A 19,279-nucleotide genomic window follows, 5' to 3' on the forward strand; every position below is an offset into this window, starting at 1 on the left:
TTATCCATTCATCTTGATACTCAATTGCCATTACATTCTATTCAATCTGGCAGGCCCAGATGAAGGGTGAACCCTCAATTTTCATGCCTTTCCCTCATTGTTCCTCTTCTTTGACCTTTCTCTTCCACTGACTACCATCTTATGTGACAGTGTGCTCTCTAGTTGTCTATCTCTCTGTACCTGTTGCTGCTCAGCCTCTACCTTTTCTTCCTTTTTTGTACTTTGAAAGCAGAAATTCTCCAAGGTATATTCTTGGTCCGTATTTATTTTTTATTTACACTTTTAGGTTCTGCAATTTTATTTATTTTAATAGCTTCAACTTTAACTCTATTCAATCAATTCCTAAATCTGTATTCTTAGCTTTATTTTTCATTGCTCTAGACTAAGCTTTAATCACTGGATGGCTATTTTAAAACCAACATGCCCACAAACTAACCAATCGCTTTTTCTCTAAAGCCATCCCCATTTTTCTATTCCTGGAAATGCAACCTTTTAGTTACTAACACTTAGAATTTCAGTTGATTGTGTTGACTTCTTTATCTTCCACAACTCGGCATCAAATTGGTTGTCAGCCTGATTGAATCTACAAACGTTTTCTCCAAATGTGTCTTCTGGCCCCTTTTCATTCTGTTTCTTCCCTAATTCAAGGCCTTGTTACCACTATCACAGCATCCTTCTAACTTGTCTCTTCTTTCTTGTTTCATAAATTTGTTTATTCATCTTCCTTACCACAGCTCAACTTATGCCAGCATCTTGGTCAAAATTATTCTCTGACTCCAGTTTAATAAAAATTAAGTTCAATGTATTTAGTATGATGTTCAAAACTCTCCACAAATCTGGGTTCAACTTATTTCAACTTTCTCTTTTATAATAACCATTTAGAGCATTGCACTCTAGATTATTCACTTGTTTCTGGACAGTCTTCAATTGACCACTTTTGTCCCTTTTCTTTTACTGTTCTTTCTATATGAATGTTCTCTCCCTGAAATCATATTCATTTTCTATGGTCCATTGTTTGACATTTTATTCAGTAGAAATATCTCTATCCCTTTTGTACAAACTTATATAGTCCTCTTCTTTTCTTTCTTAACAAAATCATCACATTTTACATGATATTGCTTATCTGTGTCCATGATATTTTCTCACATAGACTGTAAGTCTTCTGACAATAAAGCGTGTCTCATTTATTTTTGCCTAATCAATATTAACTATTATATTAATAAACATTTGATGAATATTTATTAAATAAATTAGAATTAGTGTCTTTTCTAACTGTAAACTTTATTCCCAGGAAGTCATGTCTTTAAAGGCTTGTATGAGCAGAAACGGTGTGGGCAAACATGACTCATCAACTGGTTCAATCAAACCAACTAATAAGACTATTGTGAGTTGCACATGGGATTTCACAAGGAATGAGTGAGAATTTCTGACATTAGAAGCTTACAATATAAAAAGTAAAATAAGTGTCTAAAATTTTTAAAAATAGCCAATGATAGTTAACACTGTTGAATTTACAACAAAAATGAAAGAAACATAGATTCCATTTTACCTTGATCTGGCCTTTCTCACATGGTTCACTGCACACAGATCTGATGATGTTGCTTTTCTTGGACCATACTTCATCATCATCCATTTTTAATTCTCCATTGTCCCAACTTCCAACGTTGATATAATCAAAGTAATCTTTTCCCATTTCCTTGAAATTCATTATTTCATACCTTAGGAATAAGAATATGATAATTATGCAGCTTAAGATGTAAATACTCAGCTTTGAAAAGGCAATATATTTTATTCCCAAAAATGTGTCTATTGTCATATAAGTAGCACTGGAATTTTCCATGACAGTACACTTAGAATAACAAAAAAAATCTGTCTATTTTACTTTCTCTGCAGAGACCATTTTTGTACTTTCAAGCTTACACCTGAAATAGAAAGTAATCCCATGTGAGAAGGTGACTTGACCCCAGCAGGATGAAAGACAGTTTCGAAATAACTTCAAGAAGTTTAAACGAGTACTGTTAGGCTTCTACAAAAGATAGAAAGGTTTTTGTCTGTATTCAAGTAAAATGATAAAACTTACATTTACTAACCAAGTGAGAAATTTGGTAAATCTTTCATCTTATTTTCAGCTTTAGGGGATATAGGGATAATTTACAGAGGGCCTCATTTTACCTTTCTTACTTTGCCCATTATCAATGGCTAAATTCATTGTACAAAGATAGTTTTGAGAGTGATGTTTAAAAAAGTTTGAAAATAGCTTCTAAAGCACCTCATGCAATGTAAACATCCTGGAAGAGAGTAGTTCCTTGTGAGTTCTCAGCCTTTGCTAGCTATTGTTTTTTGAGTATGTGGATAGAAATGTAAAAAGAGAAAATCAATGTGCTAACTTACAAGCCTTTTCTTATAAGTAAGCTCATTTCTAGAGAAGAATCTCTGAAATAATTTTCCAATTTGAGGATATTGGATAAGCAATATCACCATTATCTCAGTTTCTACAGGTATGTCTCAGGTACACACTGTGTTCACATAATATTTTATACTGTTTACCCCCTCAGGACTTATAGTACTGACAGATAGACATATAAATGCCTCCTCCAACTTCCAATGCTCAGCATGTGTAGCTATCTGGAAACTGATATGAATGGAAAATGTTCTCGCTTTTGGATTCAAGTGATGAGATTACTATACACAAACCAATGTTCTGTACAGAAATACTGAGAACAAAACTGGCATCAATCTATTGAAACTTATGTTATAAAATGATGCCATTCTGTTTTCACTCCCAGTCACATTTTTTACTGTAGTTTTTTTTTTTCTTCAGAATATTACCTCATTCTTGTTTTGTTGGTTGTTCAGTAACTTGATAATTTTCCTGCAGTCAGTAACAATTTGGTGTAACTGTCTAAATTCTACTTCTAAATCAAAAATACCAATTTATAGGATACTTTCCTTCCCTCTCGGTCACAATTATCCTTTGGCCTCTGTGCATGCAATGAGTTGAGATATTAGAGCACAGAGCACTGAGGTAAAAAGAACTCACGTATTATGTCATTGGCTACTTCAAATATATGAGCTTTAAGTATTCAAAGGGTGACTTTCTATGAGCAAATAACCTTTGAAGATTCTAGGATGGGAGAAAGAGAAATGTCAGTGTCAGACTTGTTTCTTTGCTGCTGATAATTTGAAGAAATATGTGGGTGTCATTCCTTACTCAAAAATGAGCTGTCAACTCTGTTTCTAGCAATTCTTAAGTCTGAAAAGTTTAGTTCACACTGTTAATTTTACAGATAATGGACTGAAGCTCAGTGAGGTTAATTAGTACAGATTACAGAGTATGTAAGCATCAGAGCTAGGACCTAAACCAAGCCTTTAGATTTCAAGTCTGCAGTTCCTTCTTCCTTATTAGACTGCTCCAAATCCTGGGTACTGCTCCAAATCCTGGGTAGAGCTAAGAGATCATATTTTCCTTGCTTAAATATTGTAAAAATTTGAACCAATTTATATTGTAAGGCTTTTATCTCTATATCCATGCCTCTTTGTTTTATGTATGACAAATAGTAAAAAGTAAAGAGATCCAGTTTTTGAAAAATAAACATGAAAACTCTATAGATTGGAAAATCACATTTGACAGGGAACTTGTTTTAAGGAAAGTTAAACCTTAATTTCAGTTGAACTCAATAAACTTGTTATAATTACATTAGAGACAATGAATCCTCTCTTTGGAATTAGGCTTTAGATTTCTAGTCATTGTTTCTTAATACAAGGCAAACACAAAGATATTATCACTCACAGCTTAAGCTGTGAAAATAGAACATTGCTTTAAAAATCTTGTTTTAGTACACTAAAAAAGAGAAATAGATAATATGTCTCCACAAAAGAATATTCTCCCGTTGACTTGTGAATTGGTATGAGCCCTTTTAATTTTCAGAGATAGAATATAGCTTTTATTCTCCAACAAAAGGAAAATAAAGTGAGTGTTTAAAACATACTCTTACGTAACTTTTAGTTAAGAATCAAAAGACATAATGGCTTCTTGCAATCTTTAGCCATGATTCAATCTAGAAGACTGTATTTTGTTTTCCAATAAAATAACAGAAGGTCAGGCACGGTGGCTCACACCTGTAATCCCAGCACTTTGGGAGGCTGAGGCGGGCAGATCATGAGGTCAGGAGATCGAGACCATCCTGGCTAACATGGTGAAACCCCGTCTCTACTAAAAATAAAAAAAATTAGCCGGGCGTGGTGGCAGGCGCCTGTAGTCCCAGCTACTTGGGAGGCTGAGGCAGGAGAATGGCGTGAACCCGGGAGACGGAGCTTGCAGTGAGCCTAGATCGCGCCACTGCACTCCAGCCTGGGTGACAGAGTGAGACTGTCTCAAAACAAAACAAAACAAGAAAACAGTAATTCAGTGTGCTCTTTGTTTTTGATGGCTTTAGTAAAGATCCAACTTGCACATATTCAGTGTCAGAAGCAAAGATTAGTGTGTCATTCCAATCACAAGACACTTTAATATAAATCTCCAGCCCAGTTTCTTTTTTCTCCTTCCCATCTCCTTCCTCCCATTTATCTCCTCCTCCTTCTCTTCTTCCTCAATCCTCCTCCTCCTTCCTCCTCCTCCTCTTCCTCCTTCTTCCTCCTGCTCCTTCTCCCTCTCCCCCACCCCTTCCCCCTCTCCCTCCCCTTCCCTCACCCTCCCCTGGCCTTTCTTTTTCATTGCACCTCTTGGTTTCTATATTTCTCTGCTTCTGAAATGTTTTTCTCAGCACAGTGTGTTTGTATATGTAATTTATCTTCTTTAATACCTGTCCCTTCCTTCCCCTTACTCTCTAACTCCTCATGTCTGCTCTTCCTTAACCAGCCAAAATTTAAACCTAGAATATTCTAAATAATTTTAAAAATAAATTTTATATATTGCTCAAAATCAAAATAAACAAAATATGTTACAATAACAACAACAAAAAGTTCTATTAAAGCATTTAAGGTAAACTAGAGAAAGTCAGGTTTCAATTGTACAGAAATAAGGAACTTTCTAAATGGCTAGAACTCTGAAAATTAGAGAAGATTGTCTTCAGATGATAATGAGGGATTTATTCAAGGGGCTGAAACAGGGTTGTTGTTAGAGAAAGTGAAAAATCATTTGGAGAAGACTGAAGAGTATTACTTTTATGTGGGTCCTAAGGCTCTTTCAATCTATAATTCCGATGCTAAGGTGCTTTTGTTAAAAATTCTTAAATGTGTGCTAAATTATCTGTGGGTTGGCATAATAAGCCCTGGTCCATACAACAAAGCAATTACAATGATCTGTGCCTTTGGGGTTGGACAATCACAGAGTAATGAGAGATCACAGAGTTAGTTAGACCAAAAATGTGAATGGCACCTAATAATGCAACACTTTTATACTATATGTTAATACATTGAACCATTTCAAATGTAATATAAGAAAAAAAAAGAAGGTAAATTTTTACTTGATGATTGTGCCTGAGATTTGCGTATGTCCTTGCCCTGTTATTTAATTGACTATGCAACCTTGGACATGTCTCTTTCTTTCTATGACACAGATTTTTTACCAGGACAATCTGGACATTGAAGCAGAACATCTGTTTCTATGAGCAGAGACATATATCAAGAATCCGCATGCACACAAAGTCGTTATCTGCCATTTCTACTATTCTAGCCTCGTATTTTCTATTTACCGCATCTGTTTGTGCTCCTCTGTTCTTTCTTTCCTGCCCTATTTTGGGCCTTTTCTTTTCTTTCTTTCTCTCTTTCTCTCATTCTCTTTCTCTCTCTTTTGTTCTTTCTTATCTCTCTATTGGCTTTTAAATGCTCCTCTTTGTATTAAAATTTTTGTGGTTGCTCAAGAGATTACAATATGCATTTTTATTCTACTTAATATTGAGTCACTTAATGTAAAATATAAGAAATTTGGCTTTGTGCAATTTCAAATTCTTTTTCATTTTTGCCGTTGTTTTCAAATACTTCGCACCCATGTACTTACAAACCCCACAATATAATGTTTTAGTTTTTTGCTTTAATTAGTTAGTTGTACTCAGTCTAACATTGGGTGTCCACGTTTCCTCTGCCTATTATGGTCAATTCCGGGTGGCAGCCACGCATCTTAAACTTTAATTCTCAATGGAGTCCCTAAACCCGAGATTAGCAAACTTTTGCTGTGAGGGGATGTATGGTAAATATTTTAGGCTTTGAGATGGTTTCTATTCACCTCTGCCATTGTGGTGTACAAGCAGCTATAGCACCTAAATAAATCAATGTGACTGGGTTCCAAAAAACCTTTCTTATAAAAACAAGCAGCAGACTCCATGTGGTCTGCAGATCATAGTTTGATGACTGATGACTGGTGATCTAGTCTGTTAATGGTAAAATAGTAAAGGTCCATATTTCTTATCGGTAATTGTGAAATCTTTAGAGCTCTGAAATTTTTTTTTCTTTTTTTTGTAACTCACTTGGCAGCAAAACATGACATTACCTGAACTTTATCTAGGGATGAAATGTGACTGGAACTAAATGAGGCTATTTATAGTCTTGTTTATCACAATGTGAATATTCGTATGTTTTGCTGCAGAAATATTAATGTGTTTATTAGGGAGTGCTATTACATATTATGTTAGGGGCATTATATGATTGTTTAGGCTTTTGTAAATTCAAAAATTCTGGGTTCTGTAACACCTGGCACCATGGTTTTCATTAGAGCATTGGGTACTGATAGTAGACTAATCAGATGAGAGATTTAAAAACAATGATTAAAACGTGCTAACAGTCTGCAAGTGTGTGCCAGAGTGAGTTGCCATCTCTCTCAGCTTCCTCTGTTTAGGATCCTCCACTTTTAACTCTGGAATTGTAGAGGATTCCTTAATCACCCCAGGATCCTTTGCTTTCTCACTCAGCTGGGAATGCCTTTGATCTGGCAGAATGCTTTTGCTCCACAAAAATAACAACCTAATGTCTACAAATAAGTTTTCTCAGAATATAGTGTCTTTAAAATTTTGATCCTGGTTGATTAATTGTCAGGCTGTTGTATAATGTTAGAAGTTGAAGCCCAGGAGACAGAGTTAAAATTTTGACTCTATCATTTACTAGACTGTGTTTTTGGGCAAGTCATTGAACTTTTGTAAGCTTTGGTTTTCTTTAGCTGGAAAAAAGAATGGTAACATTACTTACCTCATAGGATTAAAAAGTAGAACACTTGGCTTAGTCTTTGGCTCAGAACACACACTCAATATATGCTAGTTATAATTTTTTTTGTAAAAGTAACTGGATTATTTGGAGAAACAAAAGGTGGTAAATCACCTTTTCCTGAGTCTGCTTCATGCCCTTAGAGGCCAACTCTGATAATTTATTCATGGGTTAATGTTATACTCAAACCTAGTAGTGCAAGGATAGACTCAAAGCAATCCTGAATTCCCAGAAGTTGTTTGCAAGATTTTAAGTATGTTGTTCTTGAAAGAATAGCTATACATTTTGTCTGAGTCTTGAAGGGATGATTGTTCCAAAAAAAGATTAAGAAACCCTTACAACATATTTGGATGATTATGAATAAGGTAGCGATGTTCTGCCAGATCCATCAAGGTTTCCCATTGGAATAGAGCTGGACCTTCTGAGGCATCTCCTCCCTCCCTGGTTTGCGGAATGGTTTGGGTACCTGATATAAAAACTCTTGAATTGGTGGAGCTACAGTCATCAGATTCTATCAGCAAGTCCTAAGCTGATGTCAGAACTCTAGAGATGCACATGGGAATAATAAATTCCTGTGCAGGTATCTGAGCCCAGGCCTTGACCTGAGCCTAAAGACTGAGCTCATTGGTCAGCCTGCCCTTAAAAGATTTACAACTGTGAAGTTTTGTTTGGCCCTGAGAAAATGCTTGTATTTTTTTCCTTCATGGATATACGTAAGAGCCAAAAAGTAGAAAACAACATGTGAAAATTCAGCTTATTTTGGCAAACAGCCTAGTTATAGCAATATTCTTCAAGTCTCTGGAATAGAAGAAAAAAAACCTGGGTTTTCACTTGGCTGTATGACCTGAAACTAGCTATCACTTATAAGTCTGGCATGTGAAATAGTAACAGCTGCATTTGGGATAAGCTCCAGCTCATCTTAGAATGTAGAAGTGTGATAAACCAAGGTTGCTGACAGAATGTGTGGGCACATGTGGTGTGAATTGTTGGGGATTCATGAAACCTTTTGGCAGGGTCAACTACAAACAGAGTGTATAGACAGTTTTCCAAGCACAGTTGTTAAGTATGAGCTATTGCTAGAAGGGCACTGAGAGACCAAAGGACCCTATTGTTTTGATACAAGGCTGAGTGAAGACTCAGCCCTGCTACAACTCAAAATATCATTTCAATGGCATTATTCCTTATAGATTAAAAGTGTCTATAAGTCTTAAATGACTATGTAGAGTCATTTAAGAATTTGGAGTAGAAGACAAATGTGAATTATGGTAAGTTCTGGGTACTTAGTGATTTCTCTGGGGACTGACCTATACTTATGAGTTTATGTTCCTCAAGTTCCTCTACAAATAATAAAAGGTAAAATTTCAGAGAAAAAAAACAATTTAGTCCTTAACAAGGAAGAAAGTGATCCAGCTGGAGAATAATAAAATAAAATGTGACTTATAATTCACTTGCTGTACGTACAGCAAACAACAGAACAGAACCTCAGCCCTATTTCTGGATTACCAGAAATCAAATTGTTCCTATTTCAGAATAGTTCTATTATGCAAGAAAATATCTGAATATGGGGAATAACATGACAAGCATGTACAGAGAAACCACAGAGATGGTTTTTATTTATCTATGATCATGTGAGTTTCCTGCCTCTTAGTTTAGGTCTCTGAAATGTGATGATTCGCAAAGCACATTTTGGACATCAGCACAAATGCTTTTTTCCTGGCCACAGGAAATGGGGCTTCTTCTCTCTATCTTTGCTCATTTGGGATGTCAGGGAAGGGGAAACATTACCAGGAAACCTAGATTAACCACAAAGGAGAGAAAGAGACATTTCAGGATCAAGAGTTGGCTGTTATTCAGTCTCTACTCTGCAGAGGAGAATTGTAACACAATACCTTCCTGGAGAGTCTCCATTCTCATCGAATAGGATCGTATCTCCAGAAACCCCAGTAAAATTGGTTTTCATCAGGGACTCCAAAAGTTTCCGTCCATCAATTGGCTTCATGGCATCACAGAGTCCTGCATAGCCTGGGCAGAGGGACATCTGCATGTTGTGGAGCCCATAGGCCATCGAATAGATGGCGTTGATCACAAATCCCATTTTGGAATCCTGAACATGATGTGTTTTCAGAGTCAGAGAACCTGTTGGGAAACAAATTAAGCATAGCTTTGAGGTACAAATCTACTCTCGCGACATTCCTGGGTACTGAATAATGGGTTACCTGTAATTAGAGAATGCACTGGAGCAATTTTATCAGAGTTAGAACCATGGGTAACACTGAGAAACAGTACCAACATAATGGGCCTGATAGTTATCTTCTGTATTCAGGTTTTTCTTCCAAAACTCTGAAAAAAGTTCTGAATCACCAACAGTAGCAAGATCCACTTTCTTCCAAAACCAAACTCTAAGTATGAATGCAGGATAGAACTGTATTTCTGTACCATAAAATGTATCTTAAGGACAGATTCATTTCATTAGTATGAGCTGTGATAATATACCTTTTTGGTTCAGAAATCCTCAACAAACCTCCAGTTTCTAAACTATTATGTTCTCTTACCTGGCGATACTAGATATTCCACCATCTGATATAAATTTACCTATTTAGATTTATCACCCAGTACGTCTAATCTCAAAGCATATGCTCTCTATAAACTGGCCTATTTGAAAGTTATAAAATATAACATTTAAACTCCTTTAATTCATTAATTAATTCAGTAAACATTTATTAGAGTCAGAATATACACAAAGCTGTGTAATTTATCATCTAGAGAAAAAAAGATGATTTGAACATGGAGCTTGTACATAAGAAACTTGTCCAATAACAGAGATAAATTATGTAAATACAGTGAAAGGTAGAATATAATAAATCTGTAAAACATGTGGAGGTAAAATCTATAGAGGCCCAAAGGAGTGAGAAATATCCCTTCCAATAGAAGGTTCTTGGGAACTAAGGAACTAAAGGAACTAAAATTTGTTATTGATGATTGATTTGACAAGTATGGACTTAGTGCCTGTTATTTCTAACTGCTCAGAACTTGCTCCGAGTGAGGGACATCATGCTGAACAAGAAAGAAGTGATTCTTGCTCTCATTTACTTAGAGTCTAAGGGCAGATGAGCATCTATCTAAGCAGGCAATTATAATGTGTTTTGATAAGTACTGAGACAGGACTGAATAGTGAATCAGACCTGGAAGCTCTCTGAAGCTGAGCATTAAGCTAAGTATCAATCAGATGAAGGGAGAGAAAGAGTGGTCCAAGCATTTTTGAAGAATAACAGATAAGATAGAGCATGCTATGTTTGGGAGACTTTAAGGAAATCAATGACCAGCACAGAGAGTAGGAGGTAGGAGAAAAGAGAGAGCTGAAATGGTAGAGGAAGGCAGAGATGCTTAAGCCATGTTAAGATTGCTGCCTTTTGGCTAGGAGCGGTGGCTCACGCCTGTAATCCCAACACTTTAGGAGGCTGAGGCGAGTGGATCACCTGAGGTCAAGAGTTTAAGAACAGCCTGGCCAACAAGGTGAAACCCTGTCTCTACTAAAAACGCAAAATTAGCTGGGTGTGGTGGCAGGTGCCTCTAATCCCAGCTACTCAGGAGGCTGAGGCAGGAGAATCCCTTTAACCTGGGAGGTTGCAGTGAGCCAAGATGGCGCCATTGCACTCCAGCCTGGGCAACAAGAGGGAAAGTCAGTCAGCCTCAAAACAAACAAAACAAACAACCAAAAAAGATTACTGCATTTTATGATAAGAGCTTTGGGATCCATTGAAGTGTTGAGGCTAGGGAGGGACATGATCAGATTTCTGTTTTAGAAAAGACCAATCTGGCTACATTGTGGAGAAAGGTTTAAAGGGCTGTAGGAGTAGGACTGTCAGGGAAACTCATTAAGAGGGAATGCAGTGATCCCAATGACAGAAGAAAATGTTCCTGCCTGTGGTAGAGGCCATGATTATGGCAAAGGTGTCTAGGAAGTGAAATCTATTTCCAGGCCTGGTGATTATAGAATGAATAGGGTTAAGACATATAGGAAGAGTGTGGTTAAAAAAAAAATAGGTGAAAGAAAGAGCTGAGGTAAAGCCAGAGCTTATCATTTTGGAAGAAATGTTTTCTTTAAGAAAGGTGTTTTTTTTTTTTTTTTTCAACAACAACAAACAACAACAACTCTCCAAAGGTAGTATGTTGTTTTATGGCTTCCCAAATTGTAGAGGCTTATCATCTCCATCTTGATTGCTGGCCCAAATACTGACACCTTTAATTTCCCCAGTAGAGAGTCTCCCTAGAGAAACTGGCGTAGTGCATTGTGACATAATATAAGATGGGAAATCCTGCTTCCATCTCAGGACTAGACAGTGGTCCCAGGCTACACTCTAGGCAAATCTTACAATTTCCTTCCCCACACAGACTGGATTCATATTTCCACATTTTACCTCACACTGCTGGAAATTCCATTATTCTAGTTGCCAAGTCAAACACTTTTGAATCACTTTTGACTCCTCTTTTTCCTTCATACCTTCACAACTCTTATTTGATTTATCTTCAAAATTTATCTGGAATTAGACTACTTAGCACTAATCTACTTCTACCAGACTCAGTATATATCCTCTCCTGTCTAGATTACAGCAATAGTCTTCTAACTGGTTGCCTGCTTTCTCCTTTTGCCCATCTTCCCTGCACTCCAGCCTGTTTTTAGCACAATAGCCTTAACTAGAAGTCAGATCATGACAATCCTCTGATCAAACTTCCCAGTGACTTTTTTCTCATTACTAAAAGTAAAAGCCAAAGTCCTTGCAATGGCCTTCAAAGACATACAGGAGCGTGCCTCATGGTATTTCACCCCTTATTCCTTTGACTCAATCTCTTAATACTCTTCTCGTAAATTATTCCGCCCTAGACACACTGACTTTCTCCCACATCTTCAAACATGCTAGGCATGCCCCTGCCTCTGAGCCCTTGTAATTGCTGTGTCTTCTGCCTAGAATGTTCTGCCCACAAGATTTGTGCAGGACAATTCTCCAGATGGCCTTGGACTGACCAGGTTTTTCTCCCTTTCTTGCTTGTAGTTCTCAACAGTAACTGTATGATGGTCTGATAATGTAACTTACTGAGATAGAGACTGGCTAGAAGAGCCTAGGCTCTGTTTCAGTCTCACCAGAACAGCATGTCCTTCAATGATTTAGCACAGTAAGTCATGTGACCCCAGGATATAACACCCAGGGCAGGCTGCTTTCCAGGGTCCCTTATCTGCTATGCAAGTGGGTTACATGCAATTGAGACTCCATCCACCCTAGGCAGATTTCTGAGCCTTGGGGGAGCAGCTCACAATGAGTCCTAGGCTTCTGATGTTTTTTGCTGCCTATCTGTAAGTAATAAACCCATTTCCCATAACTTGCATATGAGTATGTTCTGTCACACAAGTTGGTAACCAGTGCATGGTGAGCTTGCTTCACAAGTTGCAGGGCATGTTTCCTTCCCAATTTATGACTTTACTCAGGCATAATCCTCTCTGTGAGACCTTCTCTGGATATCCTGTCTAAATTGCATCTCTACCTCCCCCCACCAACACTCCCTATCTTCTTTTGTGACATTATTTTCACTTTACCAACACCTAACATATTTTATAAATTTATCTTATTATCTTGCTTATTGGCTGTCTCAAACACCACTCACTAAAATATAAGCTCTATGAAAACAGGGATTTTTTTTTTTTTTTTTTTTTTGAGACAGAGTCTCACTCTGTGGTCCAGGCTGGAGTGCAGTGGCGCGATATTGGCTCACTGCAAGCTCCATCTCCTGGGTTCACACTGTTCTCCTGTCTCAGCCTCCCGAGTAGCTGGGACTACAGGAACCTGCCACCATGCCCGGGTACATTTTTTTGTATTTTTAGTAGAGACGGGGTTTCACCATGTTAGCCAGGATGGTCTCGATCTCCTGACCTCGTGATTGGCCCCCACTTGGCCTCCCAAAGTGCTGGGATTACAGGCGTGAGCCACCGTGCCGAGCCCGGATATTTTCTTTTTTGTTTTCTACTCAGTGCCTAGAACAATTTCTGGCACACAGTTGGCCACCAATAAATATTTGGTGAATGAATTAAATTAACAAACTGTCTTCTCTAGACTACCCTTCTATTTTACTTTTTCTCCCTAATCCTACACTAATACTAGTCCTAACCATTTTCTTCCTCTTACTTTTATTTAGGCTCAGGGGTATATGTGCAGGTTTGTTACATGGGTAAATTGTGTTGCTGAGGATTGGTGTATAAATGATCCTGTCACCAAGATAGTGACCATAGTTCCTGATAGGTAGCCTTCCAAACCATAGCTCCCTACCACCCTTCCTCTTCAAGCAATCTCCAGTGTCTGTTATTTCCATATTTATGTCCATGTGTATTCAATGTTTAGCGCCCACTTATAAATGAGAACATGTAGTTTTTGGTTTTCTATTCCTGCATTAGTTCACTCAGGATAATGGTTTTGGGCTTGATCTATGTTGCAGCAAAGGACATGATTTTGTTTGGCTGTTTAGTATTTCATGGTGTATATGTACCATGGTGCATGGTACCATGCATGCATATGTACCATGTCTTTAACCAGTCCACCACTGATGGGCATCTTGGTTGATTACATGTATTTGCTATTGTGAACAGCACTGTGATGAACATATAAAGGGATGTGTCTTTTTCGTAGAATGAGTGCTTTTCTCTTGGGTATACACTCAGTAGTGGGATTCATGTCTGTTCATATTATTTGCCCATTTTAAATGGGGTTGTTTTTTGCCTGCTGATTTGGTTAAGTTCTTTACACATTCTGGATATTAGACATTTGTTGGATACATAGTTTAGAAATATTTTCCCCAATTCTGTAGGTTGTCTGTTTACTCTGCTGATAGTTTCCCTTGCTGTGCAGAAGCCCTTTGCTTAATTAGGTTCTATGCGTCAATTTTTGTTTTTGTTGCAATTGCTTTGGGGAATTTAGTCATAAATTCTTTGCTAAGGCTAATGTTCAGAATGGTATTTCTTAGGATTTCTTCTAGGGTTTTTATAGTTTTAGCTCTTACATTTAAGTCTTTAATCCATTTTGAGTTAATTTTTGCATATAGTGAATGGTAGGAGTCCAATTTCAATCTTCTGCATACAGCTAGCCAGTGATCCCAGCACCATTTATTGGATAGGAAGTCCTTTCCCCACTGTTTGTTATTACTGACTTTGTTGAAGATCAGTTGAGTGTAAATGTGTGGCTTTGTTTCTGGGTTCTATATTCTGTTTCACTGGCCTATGTGTTTGTTTTTCTACCAGTACCATGCTGTTTGGGTTGCTGTAGCCTGGTAGTATAGTTTGAAGTTGGGTAGTGTGATGCCTCTGGCTTTGTTCTTTTTGCTTGATTTGAGATCTTTTTGATTCTGTATAAATTTTAGGATGCACATTTCTAATTCTGTGAAAAATGAAATTGGTAGTTTGGTAGAAATAGCAATGTATCTGTAAATTACTTTGAGTGATATGGCCATTTTAACAATATTGATTCTTCCTGACCATGGGCATAGAATGTTCTTCCAATTGTTTGTGTCATCTCTGATTTCTTTCAGCAGTGTTCTGTAATTCTTACAGAGATTTTTCACTTCCTTGGTAAACTGTATTCCTAGTTATTCCTTATTATTATTTTTGGCTATTGTAAATGAGATTGTGTTCTTGATTTTGCTCTGAGCTTGGACATTATTGGTTTATAAAAATGCTACTGATATTTGTACATTGATTTTGTATCCTGAAACTTTACCGAAGTTGTTTATCAGTTCTAGAAGCCTTCTGGTGCAATCTATGGGGTTTTCTTGGTATAGATTCATATCGTCTGCAAAAAGAAGTAGCTTGACTTCCTCTCTTCCTATTTGGGTGCCCTTTATTTCTGTCTCTTGCCTGATTGCTCTGGCTAGGACTTCCAGCACTACATTGAATACAAATGAAGATAGTGGATATTCTTGTCTTGTTCCAATTCTCAGAAGGAATGCTTCCAGCTTTTGCCTGTTCAGTATGATGTTGGCTGTGGATTTGTCATAGATGGCTCTTATTATTTTGATGTATGTTCCTTTGTTGCCTAACTTGTTCAGAGTTTTTAACATGAAGGGATATTGAATTTTATGGAAGGCTTTTTCTGCATCTATTGAGATGATCACTTGGTTTTTGTTACTTCTGTTGATGTGGTAAATCACATTTATTGATTTGCGTATGTTAAACCAACCATGAATCCCAGGAATAAGGCCTACTTGATGGTGGTTAATTAACATTTTCATGTGCTTCTGAATTCTGTTTGCTAGTATTTTTTGAGGATTTTTGCATCTATGTTCATCAGGGATATGAGCCTGTTGTTTTCTTTTATTGTTGTGTCTCTGCCAGGCTTTGATATCAGGATGATGCTGGCTTTGTAGAATGAGTTAGGGAGGAGTACCTTCTCCTTGTATTTTTGGAATAATTTTAATAGGACTGATACTAGCTCTTCTTTGAACATCTGGTAGAATTTGGCTTTGATTCTATTGGGCCCAGGACATTTTTTGGCTGGTAGGCTTTTTATTTCTGATTCAATTTCACAATTTGTTATTTATCTGTTCAGAATTTTTATTTCTTCCTGGTTCAATTTTGAGAGGCTGGGTGTTTTCAGAAATTTACCTATTTCTCCTAGGTTTTCTTGTTTGTGTGCACAGTGATGCTGACAATAGTCTCTGAGGATATTTTGTATGTCCGTGGGGTCAGTTGTAATGTCCCTTTGTCATTTCTAATTGTGTTTATTTGGATCTTCTCTTTCTTTCTTTATTAACCTAGCTAGCAGCCTATCAATATTGTTTAATCTTTCAAAAAACCAACTTTTGTTTTCATTGATGTTTTGTATGGATTTTCACATCTCAATTTCAATCATTTCAGTTCTGATTTTGATTATTTCTTATCTTCTGCTAGCTTTGATGTTGTTTGGCTTTTGTTTTTCTAGTTCTTCTTCCTTTCCTGGGTGTGATGTTAGGTTGTTAATTTGAGATGATTCCAACTTTTTGATGTAGGCATTTAGTGCTATAAACTTTCCTCCTAATACTGCTTTAGCTATGTCCCACAGATTTTGGTATGTTATGCCTTTGTTTTCATTAGTTTCAAAGAATTTATTTATTTATTTATTTATTATTTTTTTTTATTATACTTTAAGTTTTAGGGTACATGTGCACATTGTGCAGGTTAGTTACATATGTATACATGTGCCATGCTGGTGCACTGCACCCACTAACTCGTCATCTAGCATTAGGTATATCTCCCGATGCTATCCCTCCCCCCTCCCCCCATCCCACCACAGTCCCCAGAGTGTGATATTCCCCTTCCTGTGTCCATGTGATCTCTTTGTTCAATTCCCACCTATGAGTGAGAATATGTGGTGTTTGGTTTTTTGTTCCTGCGATAGTTTACTGAGAATGATGATTTCCAATTTCATCCATGTCCCTACAAAGGACATGAACCCATCATTTTTTATGGCTGCATAGTATTCCATGGTGTATATGTGCCACATTTTCTTAATCCAGTCTATCATTGTTGGACATTTGGGTTGGTTCCAAGTCTTTGCTATTGTGAATAATGCCGCAATAAACATACATGTGCATGTGTCTTTATAGCAGCATGATTTATAGCCCTTTGGGTATATACCCAGTAATGGGATGGCTGGGTCAAATGGTATTTCTAGTTCTAGATCCCTGAGGAGTAGCCACACTGACTTCCACAATGGTTGAACTAGTTTACACTCCCACCAACAGTGTAAAAGTGTTCCTATTTCTCCACATCCTCTCCAGCACCTGTTGTTTCCTGACTTTTTAATGATTGCCATTCTAACTGGTGTGAGATGGTATCTCATTGTGGTTTTGATTTGCATTTCTCTGATGGCCAGTGATGGTGAGCATTTCTTCATGTGTTTTTTGGCTGCATAAATGTCTTCTTTTGAGAAGTGTCTGTTCATGTCCTTCGCCCACTTTTAAAAATATGGAACGCTTCACAAATTTGCGTGTCATCCTTGCGCAGGGGCCATGCTAATCTTCTCTGTATCGTTCCAATTTTAGTATATGTGCTGCCAAAGCAAGCACTCAAAGAATTTTTTGATTTCTGCTTTAATTTCATTTTTTTATCCCAAAGTCATTCAGGAGCACATTGTTTAATTTCCATGTAACTGTACGGTTTTGATAGATTTTCTTAGTAATGATTTTTAATTTGTATTGTGCTGTGGTCTGAGGGTGTGTTGGGTATGATGTCAATTTCTTTGAATTTGCTTGGACTTGCTTTATTCCTGAGCACGTGCTCATCTTAGAATTATGTGCCATGTGCAGACGAGAAGAATGTATATTCTGTTGTTTTTGGATGGATTGTTCTGTAGATGTGTAATTAGCTCCAATTGGTCAAGTCTTGAGTTTAAGTCCAGAATATCTTCATTAGTTTTATGCCCTGATGATACGTCTGACATTGTCAGTCAGGTGTTGAAGTTCCCCAAGATTATTGTGTAGCTTCCTAAATCTCTTCATAGATCTCTAGAAACCTGTTTTATGAATCTGGGTGCTCCAATGTTGGATACATATACATTTAGGATAGTTGAGTCTTCTTGTTTGTATTGTAACTTTTACCATTATACAATGCTCTTCTTTGTCTTTTAAAAAATTATCGTTGGTTTATAAGAAAAGCTACCCCTGCAGTTTTTTGTTTTCCATTTGCCTGATAGATCTTTCTCCATGTCTTTAGTTTTAGACTGTGGGTGCTGTTACTTGTGAGATAGGTCTCCTGAAGTTAGCAGACAGTTGGGTCTTGCTTCTTTATCCAACTTGCCATTTTATGCCTTTTAAGTGGGGACATTAGCCCATTTACACTCAGGATATAAATTGATATGTGAGAATTTGATCCTGTTATTGTGCTATTAGCTGCTAACCATTTTTAAAGGATCCAAGAACACTTCCTTCATGAAGACCACCATGATTGCAGATATTAAAATTAAGTTGCACTTTGAACTCTGGATCATTTTCTCTAGACCTCTCTCTGACACTCTATATACCTTATTATAGAATTGTGGGAATACTTCAGGGGAGCAGAGTTTGAAACATCCATTTCCCAGGTCAGTCTTATAACCTACCTTTCCCTATTTAACATGCTAAGTAAAGAAGAGGTTACTCACACGATCCAGAAGATTGGGTATTCAGTGACAATCTCTGAGGCCACACTTATGTGCTTTACCTTGACCCTAAGCCATGTTCTGCAACTCTGCCTCCCAACCACTATCAGAGTTCAGCAGTACATGTTTTTCTGGCTGTTATAAAAGGTGGGTTTGAGTCTCATTCTTTTATTTTTCTCTCTTTTGAACAGGGTATGGAGATCTATGTTTGAATCCTGTTATGTGTCTTCCTGGCTCTGTGGCTTGGACAGGTTACTTCAATTACTTAACATTCAGTTTAATCATCTGCTAAATGATGACCCTTCTTTTACAAGGATAATATGAGAATTAAATGTTATAGAAAAGTCATAGGTACATCACACAGAGCCTGGCACAAGATGCTTCCTAAGTAGTAACTGTGTCAAAATGTAAATCATAATAACCTTTAGTCACTATATATTTCTGGTCAAGACTTTAGAGTATAAAAGTAAGTGAAAGGTCTCACCTGATGGGATGCCCATTAGACTCTCAGGCAGTCACTATTTAGCTTTTTTTTCTGATTTTGATTTATGCCTGGTCCACAATAGACAGCAACTGGTGCAAAGGCAATTTTGAGCCTTTTTAATTTGTAAATTAAATCACAGTGTGTAGGGCATGCTTACTACACTGTTTATTGCATTGAATGGGGACAATATTGACAATTTGCATTTGCTTGGCACTTTTCAACATAATTTTGCATGTATCTGATATGTGCCTAAGCACTACAAGATAGACCTGCACAGCAGAAACTATCCACACTGTATATATAAAGAAACTAAGCTGTAGACAAGTGAAGTCGATTTTCCGTGGTCACTCAGGCGGTAAAAATCAAAAGTAGACAGAAACTTGTAATGTCATGACTAGTTTTCTTGTTACACTATATTGCTATTCATTGGAAAGAAGAAATCCCTGTA

The 19,279-nt window shown here is 37.2% G+C and overlaps 1 protein-coding gene and 1 pseudogene across 4 annotated transcripts in view; both read right to left on the reverse strand.

Annotated features, from left to right (window-relative positions):
• GRM5 (glutamate metabotropic receptor 5) overlaps positions 1-19,279 on the reverse strand; it is a 561,341-nt gene that overhangs the window by 90,993 nt on the left and 451,069 nt on the right. For all 4 annotated transcript variants that reach the window (NM_001384268.1, NM_001143831.3, NM_000842.5 and 1 more), the window contains exons 5-6: positions 9,084-9,330; positions 1,550-1,718 (exon numbers count right to left, since the gene is read on the reverse strand). In NM_001384268.1, the coding sequence (NP_001371197.1) occupies positions 1,550-1,718; positions 9,084-9,330 (416 nt within the window). The remainder of the gene's footprint in view (positions 1-1,549; positions 1,719-9,083; positions 9,331-19,279) is intronic.
• On the reverse strand, positions 17,171-17,277 carry RNU6-16P (RNA, U6 small nuclear 16, pseudogene; annotated as a pseudogene).

The sequence above is a fragment of the Homo sapiens genome, chromosome 11, assembly GCF_000001405.40.
Source record: "Homo sapiens chromosome 11, GRCh38.p14 Primary Assembly".
Classification (NCBI taxonomy): Eukaryota; Metazoa; Chordata; class Mammalia; order Primates; family Hominidae; genus Homo; species Homo sapiens.